The sequence below is a fragment of the Homo sapiens genome, chromosome 11 (assembly GCF_000001405.40).
Source record: "Homo sapiens chromosome 11, GRCh38.p14 Primary Assembly".
Classification (NCBI taxonomy): Eukaryota; Metazoa; Chordata; class Mammalia; order Primates; family Hominidae; genus Homo; species Homo sapiens.
Genome location: NC_000011.10, coordinates 112,787,725 through 112,801,845, shown reverse-complemented (window position 1 = coordinate 112,801,845; position 14,121 = coordinate 112,787,725). Strand labels below are relative to the sequence as shown.

The following is a 14,121-nucleotide window of genomic DNA, read 5'->3' as shown; positions in this document are numbered from 1 at the left end:
TTTTATAGATGTGGAATTTATTTTGAGACACAAGCAGGCCTGTGCTCCATGTATACCAGCCAAGTGCTGGGCAGCAGGGTCCACTTTCCTGTGGGCAGCTGCTCATTTTTAATCCCTTAGAAAGTGCAGTTTGTGGGATTGAAGGCCTGGGGCGAAGCAGTGTTGAGTCTGAGCTGTAGGACCCTGAGTTCTCCCTGGGAGTGAGAGGCAGAGCCACGAAGAAAAGTAGGAAGAGAGCTTCTCCATAACTGGGACTATTACTGAGGAGTGAGACGGTAGGTCCCAGGAGGTACGAGGAGGTTGGCAGAGTCTGGGGTAAGATGTAGCATCCGTACACAAAGGCCCGATTTCTGGCCAGCCCAGCCCTGAAGCAGAAGGCAGTGTGGCCCGCTTGAGGGTAGGTTAAAACAGCTGGTGCTAATGACCCTGCAATGTGGCCAGGCCGCACCTGCCCGCCCTGAGGAACACCACCTGTGGCCATCAGGAGGTCATTGAAGCTCAGAGGTGGGCCAGTTGTTGCGTAGCTTCTCCAGACCCCCAACAACTCTGTCATTCTGGAGCATGTCTCTATACCTCACCCACTGCTTCCCTGACCCCCTCCCATCCTGCCAAGGCTGGCAGTCAGCCCTGTGGAAATGCCTGTTTCATGTGACGTTACCCCAATGCAGTCTCTGCTATGAAGCCTTTGCCAGCCTCCTATTTGAAGGGGAGGACACTTTTGTGGCCCAGAAATGTCAGTTGTCTTCCACAGGGGTTTCCTCCACCCCAGCCCCCTTTCTATTTGGGCCCTTTGTCTTTTCCTTTTCTCTAAGGTGGGGGTGACTTATTCATCCTAGGCCTGCGTCTCAGGGCCTTGGCTCAGTAGCCCCTTCAGGAGGCTCTTCTTATTGTTCTCTGAACAGTGGGATCTGAGGAATCAAAACCCCTCTTGTAACAAATATATTTCCATAGGCCCACCAGACGCAGGTGCTGAAGTGCTCCCAGTTCCAGCCATTGTGTTGTTAAGAACAATTTCTCTTCAGAAAGACCCTGTCAAAATGCAAATGTTACCGGAGAAGGGTAACACATTAACTTATTACATCCATTATCACTTTAGTGCGGTTTATCAGCTTCCCAGCTGAGAACAGGGCCCTGGGGATAGAGAGGGGAATGCTGAACAGGTGAGGTTCCACACAGGGCAGGAGATGGGAAAGGCTATGTGGGGAGCTGTGGTCAGGAAAAGGGCCCTGGGGAGGGAGCCTGCAGTACAGGAGGGGACGAGAGGCAGGTGAGACCCTGGTGTGTCTGATGCTCAGTGCTGCCTCATTTTCAGAAAGGGGCACCTTTGGATAAAGATAGTCCCTTCCCTATTATAAATGGAGAGGCTTTCTTTTCCTGTGGATTATTTGGAAATCCTCACATTTAGTGTTTTTTGTTGTTGTTGTTTTTGTTTTTGGTTTTTTTTTTTTTTTTTGAGATGGAGTCTTGCTCTATCGCCCAGGCTGGAGTGCAGTGTGCAGTGGCACAAACTCAGCTCACTGTAACTGCTGCCTCCCTGGTTTAAGTGATTCTTCTGCCTCAGCCTCCCGAGTAGCTGGGATTCCAGGTGCCCGCCACCACGCCTGGCTAATTTTTGTATTTTTAGTAGAGATGGGGTTTCACCATGTTGCCCAGGGTGGTCTTGAACTCCTGAACTCAGGCAATCCACCTGCCTTGGCCTTCCAAAGTGTTAGGACTACAGGCGTCAGCCACCATGCCTGGCCCCCAAATTTAGTTTTGCCATACATTATTTTCCTTCCTAATCATTTGCTACTCAATCTAATATTGATATTAGTTTATATTCCCTGAAGACATACCAGGCATACACTAAATGGCAGGGAAAGTCAGACTGAGATTGAAACTGTGCTGCAGGCCATCCTTAAAGAGGAGAACCCACACTTAGATAATGAAGCCATTGTAGCTTTAGGCATTTTTTTTCCTACCAATCTCCAATGGGTGGGGGCTATAACAGATGTTTCCTCCCTCCCTGTTTCTAATGGCAATACCAAACAGGCATTTTACGTTTGTTCATTTTGCAAAAAAAAAAAAAAGAAACAAATGTTCTTTACAAGCCTAATTTCCTTCTGAGAAAAGTAGGTCCTACACACAAGAAGTCTGTCTTGTTCTGCTGCAGCTTGGGTAGGAGGTGGAAAGGTGGCCAGGGGCTGACTTAGGAACAGGATCGGGAGAGAAAGCCTGGGAGAATGAGAGGGGTTTGAGTTCCTGGAGACAATCCAGAAGGCCAAGGGGGGTGAGATGGGGAAGACGAGCCAGCAGTTGCAGCAATAGGGTCTGGCGCTGCAGAGGCAAGAGCAGAGCAAGGGCTGCCCTGCCAGGCCTCTGGAGGCAGACCCAGGCCGAGGGGGCTTTCACAGGGATCTGACACTCCTTTGGAATATTTGTTGGGAGGTTGCTGCTCAATAACATCCTTCTTCATCCCTACCCTGCTTTCGGTAAAATCTAACACACACATAGAAGCATAGTATGGAGAGTGCATTTGTAAATCCTATAAAGGGTCTGAATTTGGCACCTGGGTTGATGTGTTGTAAGAGGGGGACAGTAGGAGTGGGCAGCAAGCAGCCATAGCCTGGATTAATGCAGAGAAAACCCTGCTTTGAGTCAGATGTGACCATGAGGACACAAGCCACCTGAGAACTTGAAATCAGGGTGACGTTGGACTTCCACAGAGTTAGGAGGTGGTGGGTTCCCCCGGTGCCCCGGTCAGACGCGGCAGGCAAGGAGTCATGATAAATCCAGAAGCCAGTTCTTGTAATTTGAATTTCAAAAGTGCAGCAGTCAAAGCAGGTCAGAGAGAACCCAGGACAAAATCGGAGGATTTGGAACAAGACCTATCTAGATGCTTGGAATCCAGGCGCATCTAGATGCGCTTAGCAAAGAAGGAGAGTCAAGGAAGCGGGAAATGTAGTGAATGGTGAGTGCTCCCAGAAAGGGGTATCCAGGAGTATGGACAGCAGCCTCACAAGGTCTCCACAAAGCAGAACATATAGTGTGCAGCTGAGAGCTGTGGGCATGTGGCCCAGAAAAGCCCAGAAACCTGGAAAGGCTCTGCGATGAGAAGAGGACACAGCAGTGACCACGTAGCCAGAGGACCACAGCCCAGATAGGACAAGGACATGTGCGTGGATGCCAACGAGATGTCACCGAGGATGGGATCGCACCCCTGCCCCCCACTTCATGCAAGGGCACCAGGTAGCCCCTCCCTAAATTGGATGCAACTTCCTGTTAAGTGAAAAATGGGAGACCTGAAATTAACTGAGATTAATTTCCTGCCACAGAATGGGAGCTTGAAACTGAAAATCATTTGAGTTATAGAAAATGTAGCTAATTTTTTTTTGTAGGAATGGGTCTGTGAACTGAGGTCCTCATCCACAATGACATTTCTTCATGGAGTATTTTGGGTCTTGGTGCAGCTGTGGGACGTTCTGATGGTGTTAGGGTGTGCCATCGGAGATACGATTTCCTGGTTCTACTTTTCCAAAAGCAGAAGAGGACAGAGTGAGGGCTGGGAGCCTCTTCCTGAGCTGCATTTCAAAGCAGTGTGCTCAGACTCCAAGTGGGGAGATGCCTTCTCTTTCCTCTCTCACACAAGCTCACCATTTCAACCCCAGAGTTACACTGTCTCAGCGAAAAGAATGAAACTGATACAACCAGCTGCTGGGATTCTGGTACCAACACAGCCAGCACCTGACCGCCCCCTGCAGGGTTCGACGGGGAGTGACTCATCCACAGTGAAAATGGCCAAACAAAAACAATGACTAGGCAGGCAGAGCCACCCAAATGTCAGCAGAGAGAAAAACTGTCAATGAATGAGCCCCAAATGGCTCTATAACAGACATCCCAAGGTTGGGGTGCAGAACCCGGGTCACCCCACCTGGCAGGCAGTCGGTGACCACCCATTGGCGATGGGCGAGGGGACGTGGGACATCTGAGCCTCCTCAAGTCACTATTGTTGAAATTCACAATCAACATGGGTCACTGCTTTGGCAGGCGGCCCGTCCTTCTCCGCCCCCTCTTCTTGAGTTTGTAGAAAAGGCTTTTCTCTGGACTCAAAGGAGGTAGGATTCCCCCGCCTTTTTTCACTACCTGCTTCTTGCCTCGCTGAATTCTTTTTTGTACCTTCTCCCTTTGGTGAGTGGGTGCCATTTATCCAGCAAGAATGAACCAACTTATATAGTCTTTCACTCATTCCCTTGGCTTCCCTTGTTTTCTTTTGTCTGCCCTTGAGTTTCTTGGATTAGCCTGCCTCTGCTCAAGGCTGGAGCATGGTTTTCACAGGGTGCTTCCTGGGTTGACTTCAGGATTTAGGAGGTCAGGGGATGGGGTGCTTTATCTCTGCATCCTCAACTACAATATTCACCTCCACCAGAGAGCAGAGAAGTAGATGGTCCAAGCTTTGCACCAGACTAGAAAGAATACTCCCCGGGAGAGTTCCCAGCCCCCAGAGGTCAACCATTAATCACCTTCTGGAAGCCTGTTGCAGGGTTTGTGATGGAAATGACTCTGTCGTCATGGTAACTCTGCCTGGCCTGGCCAGGGGCTGCTCCAGCCTAACTGGCTCTTCTGGGTTTCAGGTTTATTTACAAGCTGTGACTCCTGCCTGGTAGGTCTTCAGAGCAGCTTCTTGCCATCTGGAACCTGAGGGAAAGGCTGGGGATGACATAGGCCTAAACCAGTCCTTGTTCAAAATGATGGTTTCAAACCTGGTTCTCCCATTCAAGAAAGATGAGACCTTTCACCGTAGTGCTAACATGTCTTGCCTGTTGACTGGACGTGTCCCAGAGGGACAGAATTGTATATCTGGACTTTGAAGTGGAAACACCTAGGGTCTGAGCAAGGGCTCTGCCTCTTACCAGTTGTCCATCTTTGGGCAAGTTACTAAAACACTGATCTTCAGATTCTCCCCCTCTAAGAGAAGTCCTCATACCAAGTTCACAGTGTAATTGTTAGAATTAAATAAGATAACTACATAATGCAGGAATGGCACACTTTTTCTGTAAAGGCCCAGGCAGTAAATATTTTAGGCTTTGCAGGCCACGCGGTCTCTGTCTCAACTACTCAACTCTGCCCTCATAGCATGAAAGCAGCCCGGATCAAGAGTAAACTAAACAGTGCAGCAGAGTTCCAGTAAAACTCAGGTGGCCCTTGCTGGGCAGTCTGGGCTGACCACGCATTCTAAGCAGGAGCTACATCTGAATGAATAATATGCATCGCTGGCCACCGCGGAGAAGAGGCACCAGTGAGGGCAGCAGTGTGGTGACACAGCCGAGGGCAGGGTGAGAAGTTCAGGCTGGCTTCAGAGCCCCAGTTCTGACAGGCTCTGCACGGCCGCTCACATCTCCGGGGAAAGCCACAGTGTGCCAACAGCCCAGCGACCTGCTATACTGAGCTGTGATTTATTAATGCTCTCACACAGGGCCTCTCTCCAAGAGGTTTGCTGGGGTTGAGGGAAGAATATGGGATCCCTAATTCATTCAGAACACTCTGATTTATACCAGCTCCTGGCAGCGGCGTTTTCCAAGACCCCTCAAGAGTGAAGGGGATTTAGAACTCTGTTTTCCATTCTGTGTTCACTGGTTCCAAACAACTAGCGGGTTAGAGATAGACCAAACTGGTTCTGCCTGAAAGACTCTCAGCCCTGCCGAGGGGTAAGCAGGTGTTACCCATCAGTCCAACTCCCTCCTAAGACAAGAGGTCAGGTCCTCGGAGCCAGCAGGCTGCGGGCTGAGTACATCTGTCAGTTCGGAGGGGTGGCTCACAGCAGGTCAGCTGGGGGGTGGCCTGTTTCAGAACTCAGGCCAGTGATCTCTTTGGGGGCTGGCAGTTGACTGGCAGCAGGTCTGCGCTGGTCAGGAGGATCATGAGGGAGGTGGGGTTTGGTGCTGGAATGGATGAGTCTGGGACTTTTCAAGTCCATGGTCACAGTGTGACCACAAGAAAGAGCTTTTCCCTCCTGGGCCTCAGTTTACCTCTCTGTAAAACAGGGTCCTCTCTTCTGTCCTCTCAGCCCTCCGTGAGTAGGTGGGTTGTGGTGAAGCCTGGCTGATGGTAACTGTGGGAACAGGTGGTGCACGACTCCAAGAGGGTTCTATTTATGCGGTTTATTCTGATGACACTGTGTTTTCTCCCGACAAGCTCGGGTGCTGAGCAGCTGTTCTTTCGCTGTCACCCCTGTGGCGTCGCTGTGAGGGGGAGTATTTCTACTTCTCACTGACAGTTTTCCTTGCCATGGAGGCTTTATTCAGCTCCTTAATACCAATGCTTTACATGTGGATGCAACTTCACAGTTTACAAAGCAATTTCAGAGACATCTTCTGATTTTATCTCCATAACAACCCATTCAGGTTGGCGTGGCCGACGGGTCTATCCTGAATTAGAGATGAGGAAACCGCCTGTCAGGTTAGGTGTTTCAACCCTGTGCTGGGTTCCCACCACCGGTAGGTGGCAGGGCTGAGACTGAGACATACACTTACCCCGCCACATTAAAACTTCTCAGGAAAACTGCTGCCTTTTAAGAAGCTTTTGTTCTGGCTGGCAATGGTGGCTCATGCCTGTAATCCCAGCAATTTGGGAGGCCAAGGTTGGGGGATCACTTGAGGTCAAGAGTTTGAGACCAGCCTGGCCAACATGGCAATATCCTGCCTCTACTAAAAATACAAAAATTAGCCAGGCGTGGTGGCAGGTGCTTGTAATCCCAGCTACTTGGGAGGCTGAGGCAGGAGAATTCTTGAGCCTGGGAGGTGTACGTTGCGGCGAGCCAAGATTGTGCCACTGCACTCTACCTGGGTGATACAGTGAGACTCCGTCTCAAAAAAAAAAAAAAAAAAAAAGAAGAAGAAAAAAAAGCATTTGTTCCAGTGTACTTTTATTACATTAATGTAATAAAAGTATCAAGGAACAGTTTGTTTTGGAGGGGCAGTGGGAAGGAATTTTTAAAAATAGTATAATGAAGAGGGCTTTTATTCTGTAAAGCTGCCTTCTGTCCTCAGTGCTGAACTTCCTGTCATCATCACCAAAATAAATTCCACTTTCAAATGTGACTTTTCCCCCAGGCCTTCCAAAAACTCAAGCCAGACAGGTTTGAGGGAGAGTGTGAGCTATTTTTACTACTGTCTGGGGTTCTCCCTATTCATTGTTGGAGGGGGAAAAAAAGACAGTTGAAAATCCCCAAGAATTTTCTCTGGCTGTGAATTTGCACCCAGCTGTCTCCACACACCCACACCCGGCAGCATGCGGCTGTTGGACACTGCTGGCCCTGAGTTCAACATCATTTTCATCTTTGACAGGCTTGCTCAGCCACCATCTCTGAATTATAGTAGTAGTCATAACCCAACAATGCTCTGGGCAGGTCCTTGGTACCCAAGGCCAAAGACTTTCCAGTCTTTGGAAACCAGTCATAACCTTCTATGGCCAGATGTGAAGGAATGGAGTCCTGACCTCACAGTCCCAGTTTCTAAAGTGATCCATTCTCTGAATTCCTACACCCAGAAATGCTCTGGCTTTGCACCCTTGGGTCCTCTGCCTTTCCAAGGTCCCACCTGACTGGTGGCCAAAATTGTGAGCCATTGATGTAAACAATAAAAATGATAGTAGAACAAACCCATTAGGCTGAGCCAAGTCACCCTGACCAGAAAAAAAAAAAGCCACATCTGAAGAAAGTGAAGACAAACAGGAAATCTTTGCAAATAGTCACTCTTATCTCCACTCACCTCATATCCCTGCCCTTCCTCACTATCCCTTTCCCCTTTCATCTTTCCTTCCTTCTTCCCCTTTCTCCTATAATACCTGTGTTTCCTCACTAAACCGATTGTCTATGCCACAATCCCTGAAAAATATTCCCATCTATAACCCGTGAGGTTTGTGTCCATTTCAACTCTAGGTTCAATTCTGTTAAAGTGAACAGTGAATTCCAAGAAACTGTCTAAATAATTTCATTGTGTTGGAAGTTTTTGTAACAAATTTGCAAGAAAAAAAATGACCGAATCTTGGATATGGATATCCTGGAGGCTACAAAAGTGTTTTTACTGTAAGGATGTTTGAAATAACATTGTGTTAAAGGGATATTGGGGTTATGTCATTGCCTCTGACCTAGAGAGTTTCACCTGCTACCTCCATCAGACTCCTTCCAAGACCTCACAGATGCCTGGATTTGGTAGCTGGCCAGGTATTCTTCATAGCTGTATGATCCCCTGGATTGAGTCATCCACCAAGTATCCTTTTGAGGACTTCCAGTGGGATTAGCATCTGGCTGGGTGCTGTGAAGAATTTCCCAAACATAAGATAGAATTGCTCTCCTCATGGTGCTTACAATCTAGATGAGGGAGGTACATCTCGTATGCAACAGCTAAATTGAATAGCAGAAGGCAGTACCTAGTTAAGTGCTAGGCTATGTGGACTACAAATGCCATCCTCATTCTGTCTGTAATGTGAGCCTATTCTAGGCACAGGGGAAGACTAAGTCTGCCTTCTGCTCCATTCCAGCCCTCCCAATGCCTCAGAGTCCTTTGTATATATTGTACGAGCTCCGCTGTAGAACTTACTACATTGTGTTGTATGTTCGTTATGTTTATTTTATTTTATTATTTTATTTTATTTTTTATTTTTTGAGATGGAGTCTCACTCTGTCACCCAGGCTGGAGTGCAATGGGACGATCTTGGCTCACTGCAAACTCTGCCTCCCGAATTCAAGCAATTCTCCTGCCTCGGCCTCCTGAGTAGCTGGGACTACAGGCACATGCCACCATGCCCAGCTAATTATTTGTATTTTTAGTACAGACGGGGTTTCACCGTGTTAGCCAGGATGGTCTCGATCTCCTGACCTTATGATCTGCTCACCTCGGCCTCCCAAAGTGCTGGGATTACCTGCGTGAGCCACCGTGCCTGGCCCGTTATTTTTATCCCTGTCTCTATGAGTATTTTGTGCTTGAAGACTTCCACTTTGCAAAGGATCTAGCGATGTGCCTGTCACACTGTCAGTTTTTAAGGAAATTTTTAAGTGCTTATTGAATGTAGAATGTTGGCTAAGTATTGATGCTAGAGAACTATTGTCTGGCTGCCCTCCCACATGGGATTCCATAGCACAGCCATGCTATGCTTTTTCCTTTTCCAAGGTGTCTAAAAGAAGGAGCTGCTCCAGAGGACCGAACATAAAGTCAGCAAGCTCATCTTAGAAACCCCGGGTGGAAGGAAATTAGAATCCTGAAAGTTATTTTGGGGTCAAGAAGTCCAGTTTGGATCTGTCAGAGGTGGAAACAGGCCCCAGTGGGCCTCTCTCAGCTGTATCTTTGGAAAAATTGATGTCTGCATTTTAATTCTCTCCAACATGTCATTAACCCCACAGACACCCTTCCACTGAGACAAGACCCATGATGAGGGTTGTAGGAAGAGAAAGAACTTTCTCTAAGGGTTCTGTCCTTTACTCAGTGAAAAAGGATCTATTAGAGGCTGACAAATCAATAAATGCAATTTAAGCCGCTTTCTTGGAGTCTGTGTGACTTACAGGAAGGGTAGTGTATTGCCTGGGTGGTGCCATGGGCCCCCTGCTCCTTCCCCTCTTTGCAATTATAGCAAATTTGCCTAATGCACTAAAAGCCAATGAATCATGTCCACTGGTGATGGGATGGGAAAGGCGAGAAGGAAGATGTCGGATGCTGGCAGCTGCCTTGATAACCTCGGTTTTAATTAGGCTTTAGTGAATAACAAACAAAACAATCATTCATTTGCGACAACCATCTATAGTGACTAAAAGGCCCATATTTGGTTGTTGCAAATGAACAAGTGTCCTAGGTATTGAGGGAAGCTAGGATGGCTTCTCCCCCATGGATCTCATCTCATGAAAGGGTGGAAGATCCACTCAACCACTGGTAGACTTGGACTTATTTTCTCCAAACTGGAGCCCAGGCTTACCAACTCTTATGTGTTCTACTTGTTCCTTGCAATGGATGGGACTCTTATGGTGCTTGGACTCATTAGCATTAATCACGATGTGGAAGTCATAGCATTCCTCTCTTTCAGGCTACGCACAGAATATTAATGGTCTTAAAATCCAATCAGAAATTCTACAAAATAACTGGCCTGTATTTATTGAAACTGTCAAGGCCAAAAAAGATAAGGAAAGATGTAGGAACTATTCCAGATTTAAGGAGATAAAGAGACATCATGACAGCTGAATGTTACCTGTGATGCAGGATTTTCTTTACCCATACAGAGCACTGTTAGAATAATGGGAGAATTTGAATAAAGTCTGTAAATTAGCTAATAGTATTATTATAATGTTAATTTCCTAATTTTGAGTATTGTGCTATGGTAATGTAAGAGAATTCCTTTTTAGGAAATACACACTGAAGTATTGAGGGATAAAGTAGCAGCATATCTGCAACTTACATTCAAATAGTTCAGAAAAAAATTATCTTTATTTTTCTATTTCTATCTATCTCTCTGCCTATCTCTATATATCCCTATCTATCTATCATCTCTATCTCTTTCTCTTTCTCATATTCATAAATCTATTGATTTATCTATTGAAAGCAAATGTGGTAACATTCCAAGTGTGAGATCTGGGTGAAGGGTAGACTGGTTCTTTGTAATATTTTTGCATCTTTTCTGTAAGTCTGAAATCATGAATAAGTAGAAAGCTAAAAAAAAATTCCAGGCCGAGCACAGTGGCTCATGCCTATAATCCCAGCACTTTGGGAGGCTGAGGTGGGCGGATCTCCTGAGATCGAGACCATCCTGGCTAACACGGTGAAACCCTGTCTCTACTAAAAATACAAAAACTTAGCTGGGCGTGGTGGCACACACCTGTAGTCCCAGCTACTCGGGAGGCTGAGGCAGGAGAATCACTTGAACCTGGGAGGTGGAGTTTGCAGTGAGCCCAGATTGCGCCACTGTACTCCAGCCTGGGTGACAGAGTGAGAATCCATCTCAAAAAAGAAAAAAAATTTCCAATCAGTAGAGAGATTGCCAACTATGACCAGTGAAACAATATATCGCAGGTTCCTTTCTCTTCCCTTCTTCCCCAAAGAGCTTCTCTACCCAAATCATGCCTTTAAACCTGTGACTTAAACCTCTAAATACCCAGGGAGTTGCAGGACCCCCGTGACATTTCTCTGGGTGATGAGATTTCTTACATGATGAGATTAAATGAGGACATTTGCACAAGGAGCTAGTGAAAAATGAAGGGATTTGATCAGATGATCACCAAGCTCCTTTCTAAATCAACATTCTGTGACCTTCTGATCCTATGAAGTAGAAAATAAAATATAGCCATGTGTTGCATAACGACATTTCGGTCAACAACAAAATGCCATGGTGGTCTCATAAGATTATAATGGATGGAGATGAAAAATTCCTGTCTTAACTGTCATGACGTTACTCACACATTTGTGGGGATGCTGGTATAAACAAACCTACTGTACCACCAGTTGTATAAAAGTATAGCACATACAATATGTACAATACATAAAAACTTGATAATGGTAATAAACAATGATGCTACTGGTTTGTGTATTTTTTATTTATACTTGTTATCGTTATTTTAAACTGTACTTCTTATTTAAAAAAAGAAAACAGTTAACTGTAAAATAGCTTCAGGCAGGTCCTTCAGGAGGGATTCCAGAAGAAGGCACTGTGATCATAGGAGGTGACAGCTCCATACATATTACTGCCCCTGAAGACCTTCCAGTGGGACAAGATGTGGAGGTGAAAGACAGTGATACTGATGATCCTGACCCTGTGTAGATCTAGGCTAATGTGTGGGTTTGTGTCTTAGTTTTTAATGAAAATATTTAAAAGGTAAAGAAATATATACACATATATATACAGAGAGAGAGAGAGAAAAGCTTGTAGAATAAAGATATGTATATATAAAGAAAATATTTTTGCACAGCTGTACAATGTGTTTGTATTTTAAACTAAATGTTATTACAAAAGAGTCAAAAAACTTTAAACATTAAAACGTTTATAAGGTAAAAATTATAGTAATCTAAGGTTAATTTATCATGGAAGAAAATTTTTTAAATAAATTTAGTGTGGCCTAAGTGTGTTTATAAAGTCTACAGTAGTGTACAGTCATGTCCTAAGCCTTCACATTCACTACTCACTCACCCAGAGCAAATTCCAGTACTGCAAGCTCCATTCACGGTGAGTGCCCTAGACAGGTGTACCCTTGTTTATCTTTTATACCACATTTTCACTGTACCGTTTCTATGTTTAGATACATAAATACTTACCATTGTGTAACAATTGCCTACAATATTCAGTACAGTAACATGCTGTACAGGTTTGTAGCCTAGGAGTAATAGGCTACACAATGTAGCCTAGGTGTGTAGTAGGTTATACCATCTAGGTTTGTGTTAAGCACACTGTGACGTTCACACAACCATGAAATCGCTTACGGACAGATGCATTTCTCAAAATGTATTCTTACCATTAGGCGATCATGACTGTACGGTAATAGTTTGTGGCCTTTCCAACCTGAAATACCCCTCTTGCCCAGCTTTGCTTTTATTCCCTAAGACAACACCTGGCAGGGGAAGCGGCCATTTCTACCTGCTGCTGTGTGGTACACTTCTCTTGCTCCAGAAGCCCAAGAAAATGACATCCCACGATTGTTTTTAAGAAGCCCATGCGGTCCTTTCTCTCCAGATAATTGCTGCCTAGTTCTGCAGACCTAATGGACTTCTTTAGGCTTCCCTGGGTAGCAGTAAGTGCACATACACAGTTAAATGCAAAGGATTTGTATAAATACTGAATATATCTCTATCTACATAAGGATGTACACATACATTTTTCCAACACCAATCTCCAAAATTATAATTCTAAAAAAGTTTTCAAAATATGTCATATAATTTAAAATACCAAAAAAAAAATGTTTAATAACTGTCATCAGTTTTGAGTTCTCTGTACTTAAAGACCAAATCATCTCCCAAGAATGGCTGTGGCACCATTGTAGATGGTGAGTAAAGTGGCTTGTGGCACCTCTGGAGAGAACTCTAGGGATACTGAGCCCCAAGCCACCAGCCAGGAGCTGAGTCTCCTTCTTGGATTCAGGAGCTAAGAAGTATATTCTTGGTAAAGGAGAAGACAAATGCTTTAGTGCACATTTCTTGTTTGTGACTGTGTAGCAGATGACTATAGCTGACACTGCCCCTTACCTGCCAAAAATCCATTCTCTTCTTCTTTATTATTCAATCTCAATTTTGCTTGAGATCCAGTTTAAAACACTTACCTCCCCAGACTGTCCTGAAGCTGAGTTTTGGCAGATAAGAAAGAGGAATCTCATGGAAAGTTGTTTTTCCTGATAATAAACAGACTCCTCTGACAGCAGCCTTTTCCTTTGTCCTTCCCCCTTGTTTGTGCCTGGATTGTAGAGCAGCCGTTCTTGGAGCCATGAGGATGAGAGCCACAAACCAGATGGAACAGGGGTCTAGAAGGGTTCTTGGCTGCTCCCCTGAATGCCTCTGGACATCTCATTATACCAAAAAACTCCTTGTGGTGGGGATTTTTATTATGCGCCACTGAATGCAATCCTGAAAGAGACCCCAAAACCATCACCCCTGTTCTCAATATTGTGGTTTTCAGGGTCTGGGATTCACACCCAGGGCCACCCCTCTACTCATCATGATGACACGTTCCCCAGCTGTCTTACTCTATTCCTGCTGCTTTAACAAAATACCTTAGACAGGTAATCCATAAACAACAGGAATTTAGTGCTCACAGTTCTGGAGGCTGGGAAGTTCAAGATCAACATACCAGCATTTTTGGCATCTGGTGAGGGCCCATTCTGCATAGATGGCACCCCATATGTGTCCTCACATGGTGGAAGGAGCAGAGAGGCTCCTTCAGGCCTCTTTTGTGAAGACACTCATCCCACTCAAGAAGGCAGAGAGCTTATAACCTAATCACCTCCCAAAGACCCCACCTCTTCATAGCATCACCTTGGAGGTTAGGTTTTAACATTTGAATTTGAGGGGGACACAAACATTCAGACCATCGCACTAGTCTACACTGTTTGCTTCAGGGATGTGTCCACAATTAAAGCCAGAACAATCTGAAAAAAAAAGTCAGAAAAAACTGACTTTCCTT

General features: G+C 45.5%; 4 annotated features.

Annotated features, from left to right (window-relative positions):
- Nucleotides 2,551–3,228: an enhancer, noted in NCBI's record as "H3K4me1 hESC enhancer chr11:112669341-112670018 (GRCh37/hg19 assembly coordinates)". NCBI's record gives its function as "activates a minimal SCP1, AML or CMV promoter by ChIP-STARR-seq in naive H9 embryonic stem cells {active_cell/tissue: H9 hESC(naive)}" and the evidence as "EXISTENCE:reporter gene assay evidence [ECO:0000049][PMID:30033119]".
- Nucleotides 3,229–3,906: an enhancer, noted in NCBI's record as "H3K27ac-H3K4me1 hESC enhancer chr11:112668663-112669340 (GRCh37/hg19 assembly coordinates)". NCBI's record gives its function as "activates a minimal SCP1, AML or CMV promoter by ChIP-STARR-seq in naive H9 embryonic stem cells {active_cell/tissue: H9 hESC(naive)}" and the evidence as "EXISTENCE:reporter gene assay evidence [ECO:0000049][PMID:30033119]".
- Nucleotides 3,661–3,760: an enhancer, noted in NCBI's record as "active region_5538". NCBI's record gives its function as "activates an Ori minimal core promoter by ATAC-STARR-seq in GM12878 lymphoblastoid cells {active_cell/tissue: GM12878}" and the evidence as "EXISTENCE:reporter gene assay evidence [ECO:0000049][PMID:35858748]".
- Nucleotides 3,791–3,840: an enhancer, noted in NCBI's record as "active region_5537". NCBI's record gives its function as "activates an Ori minimal core promoter by ATAC-STARR-seq in GM12878 lymphoblastoid cells {active_cell/tissue: GM12878}" and the evidence as "EXISTENCE:reporter gene assay evidence [ECO:0000049][PMID:35858748]".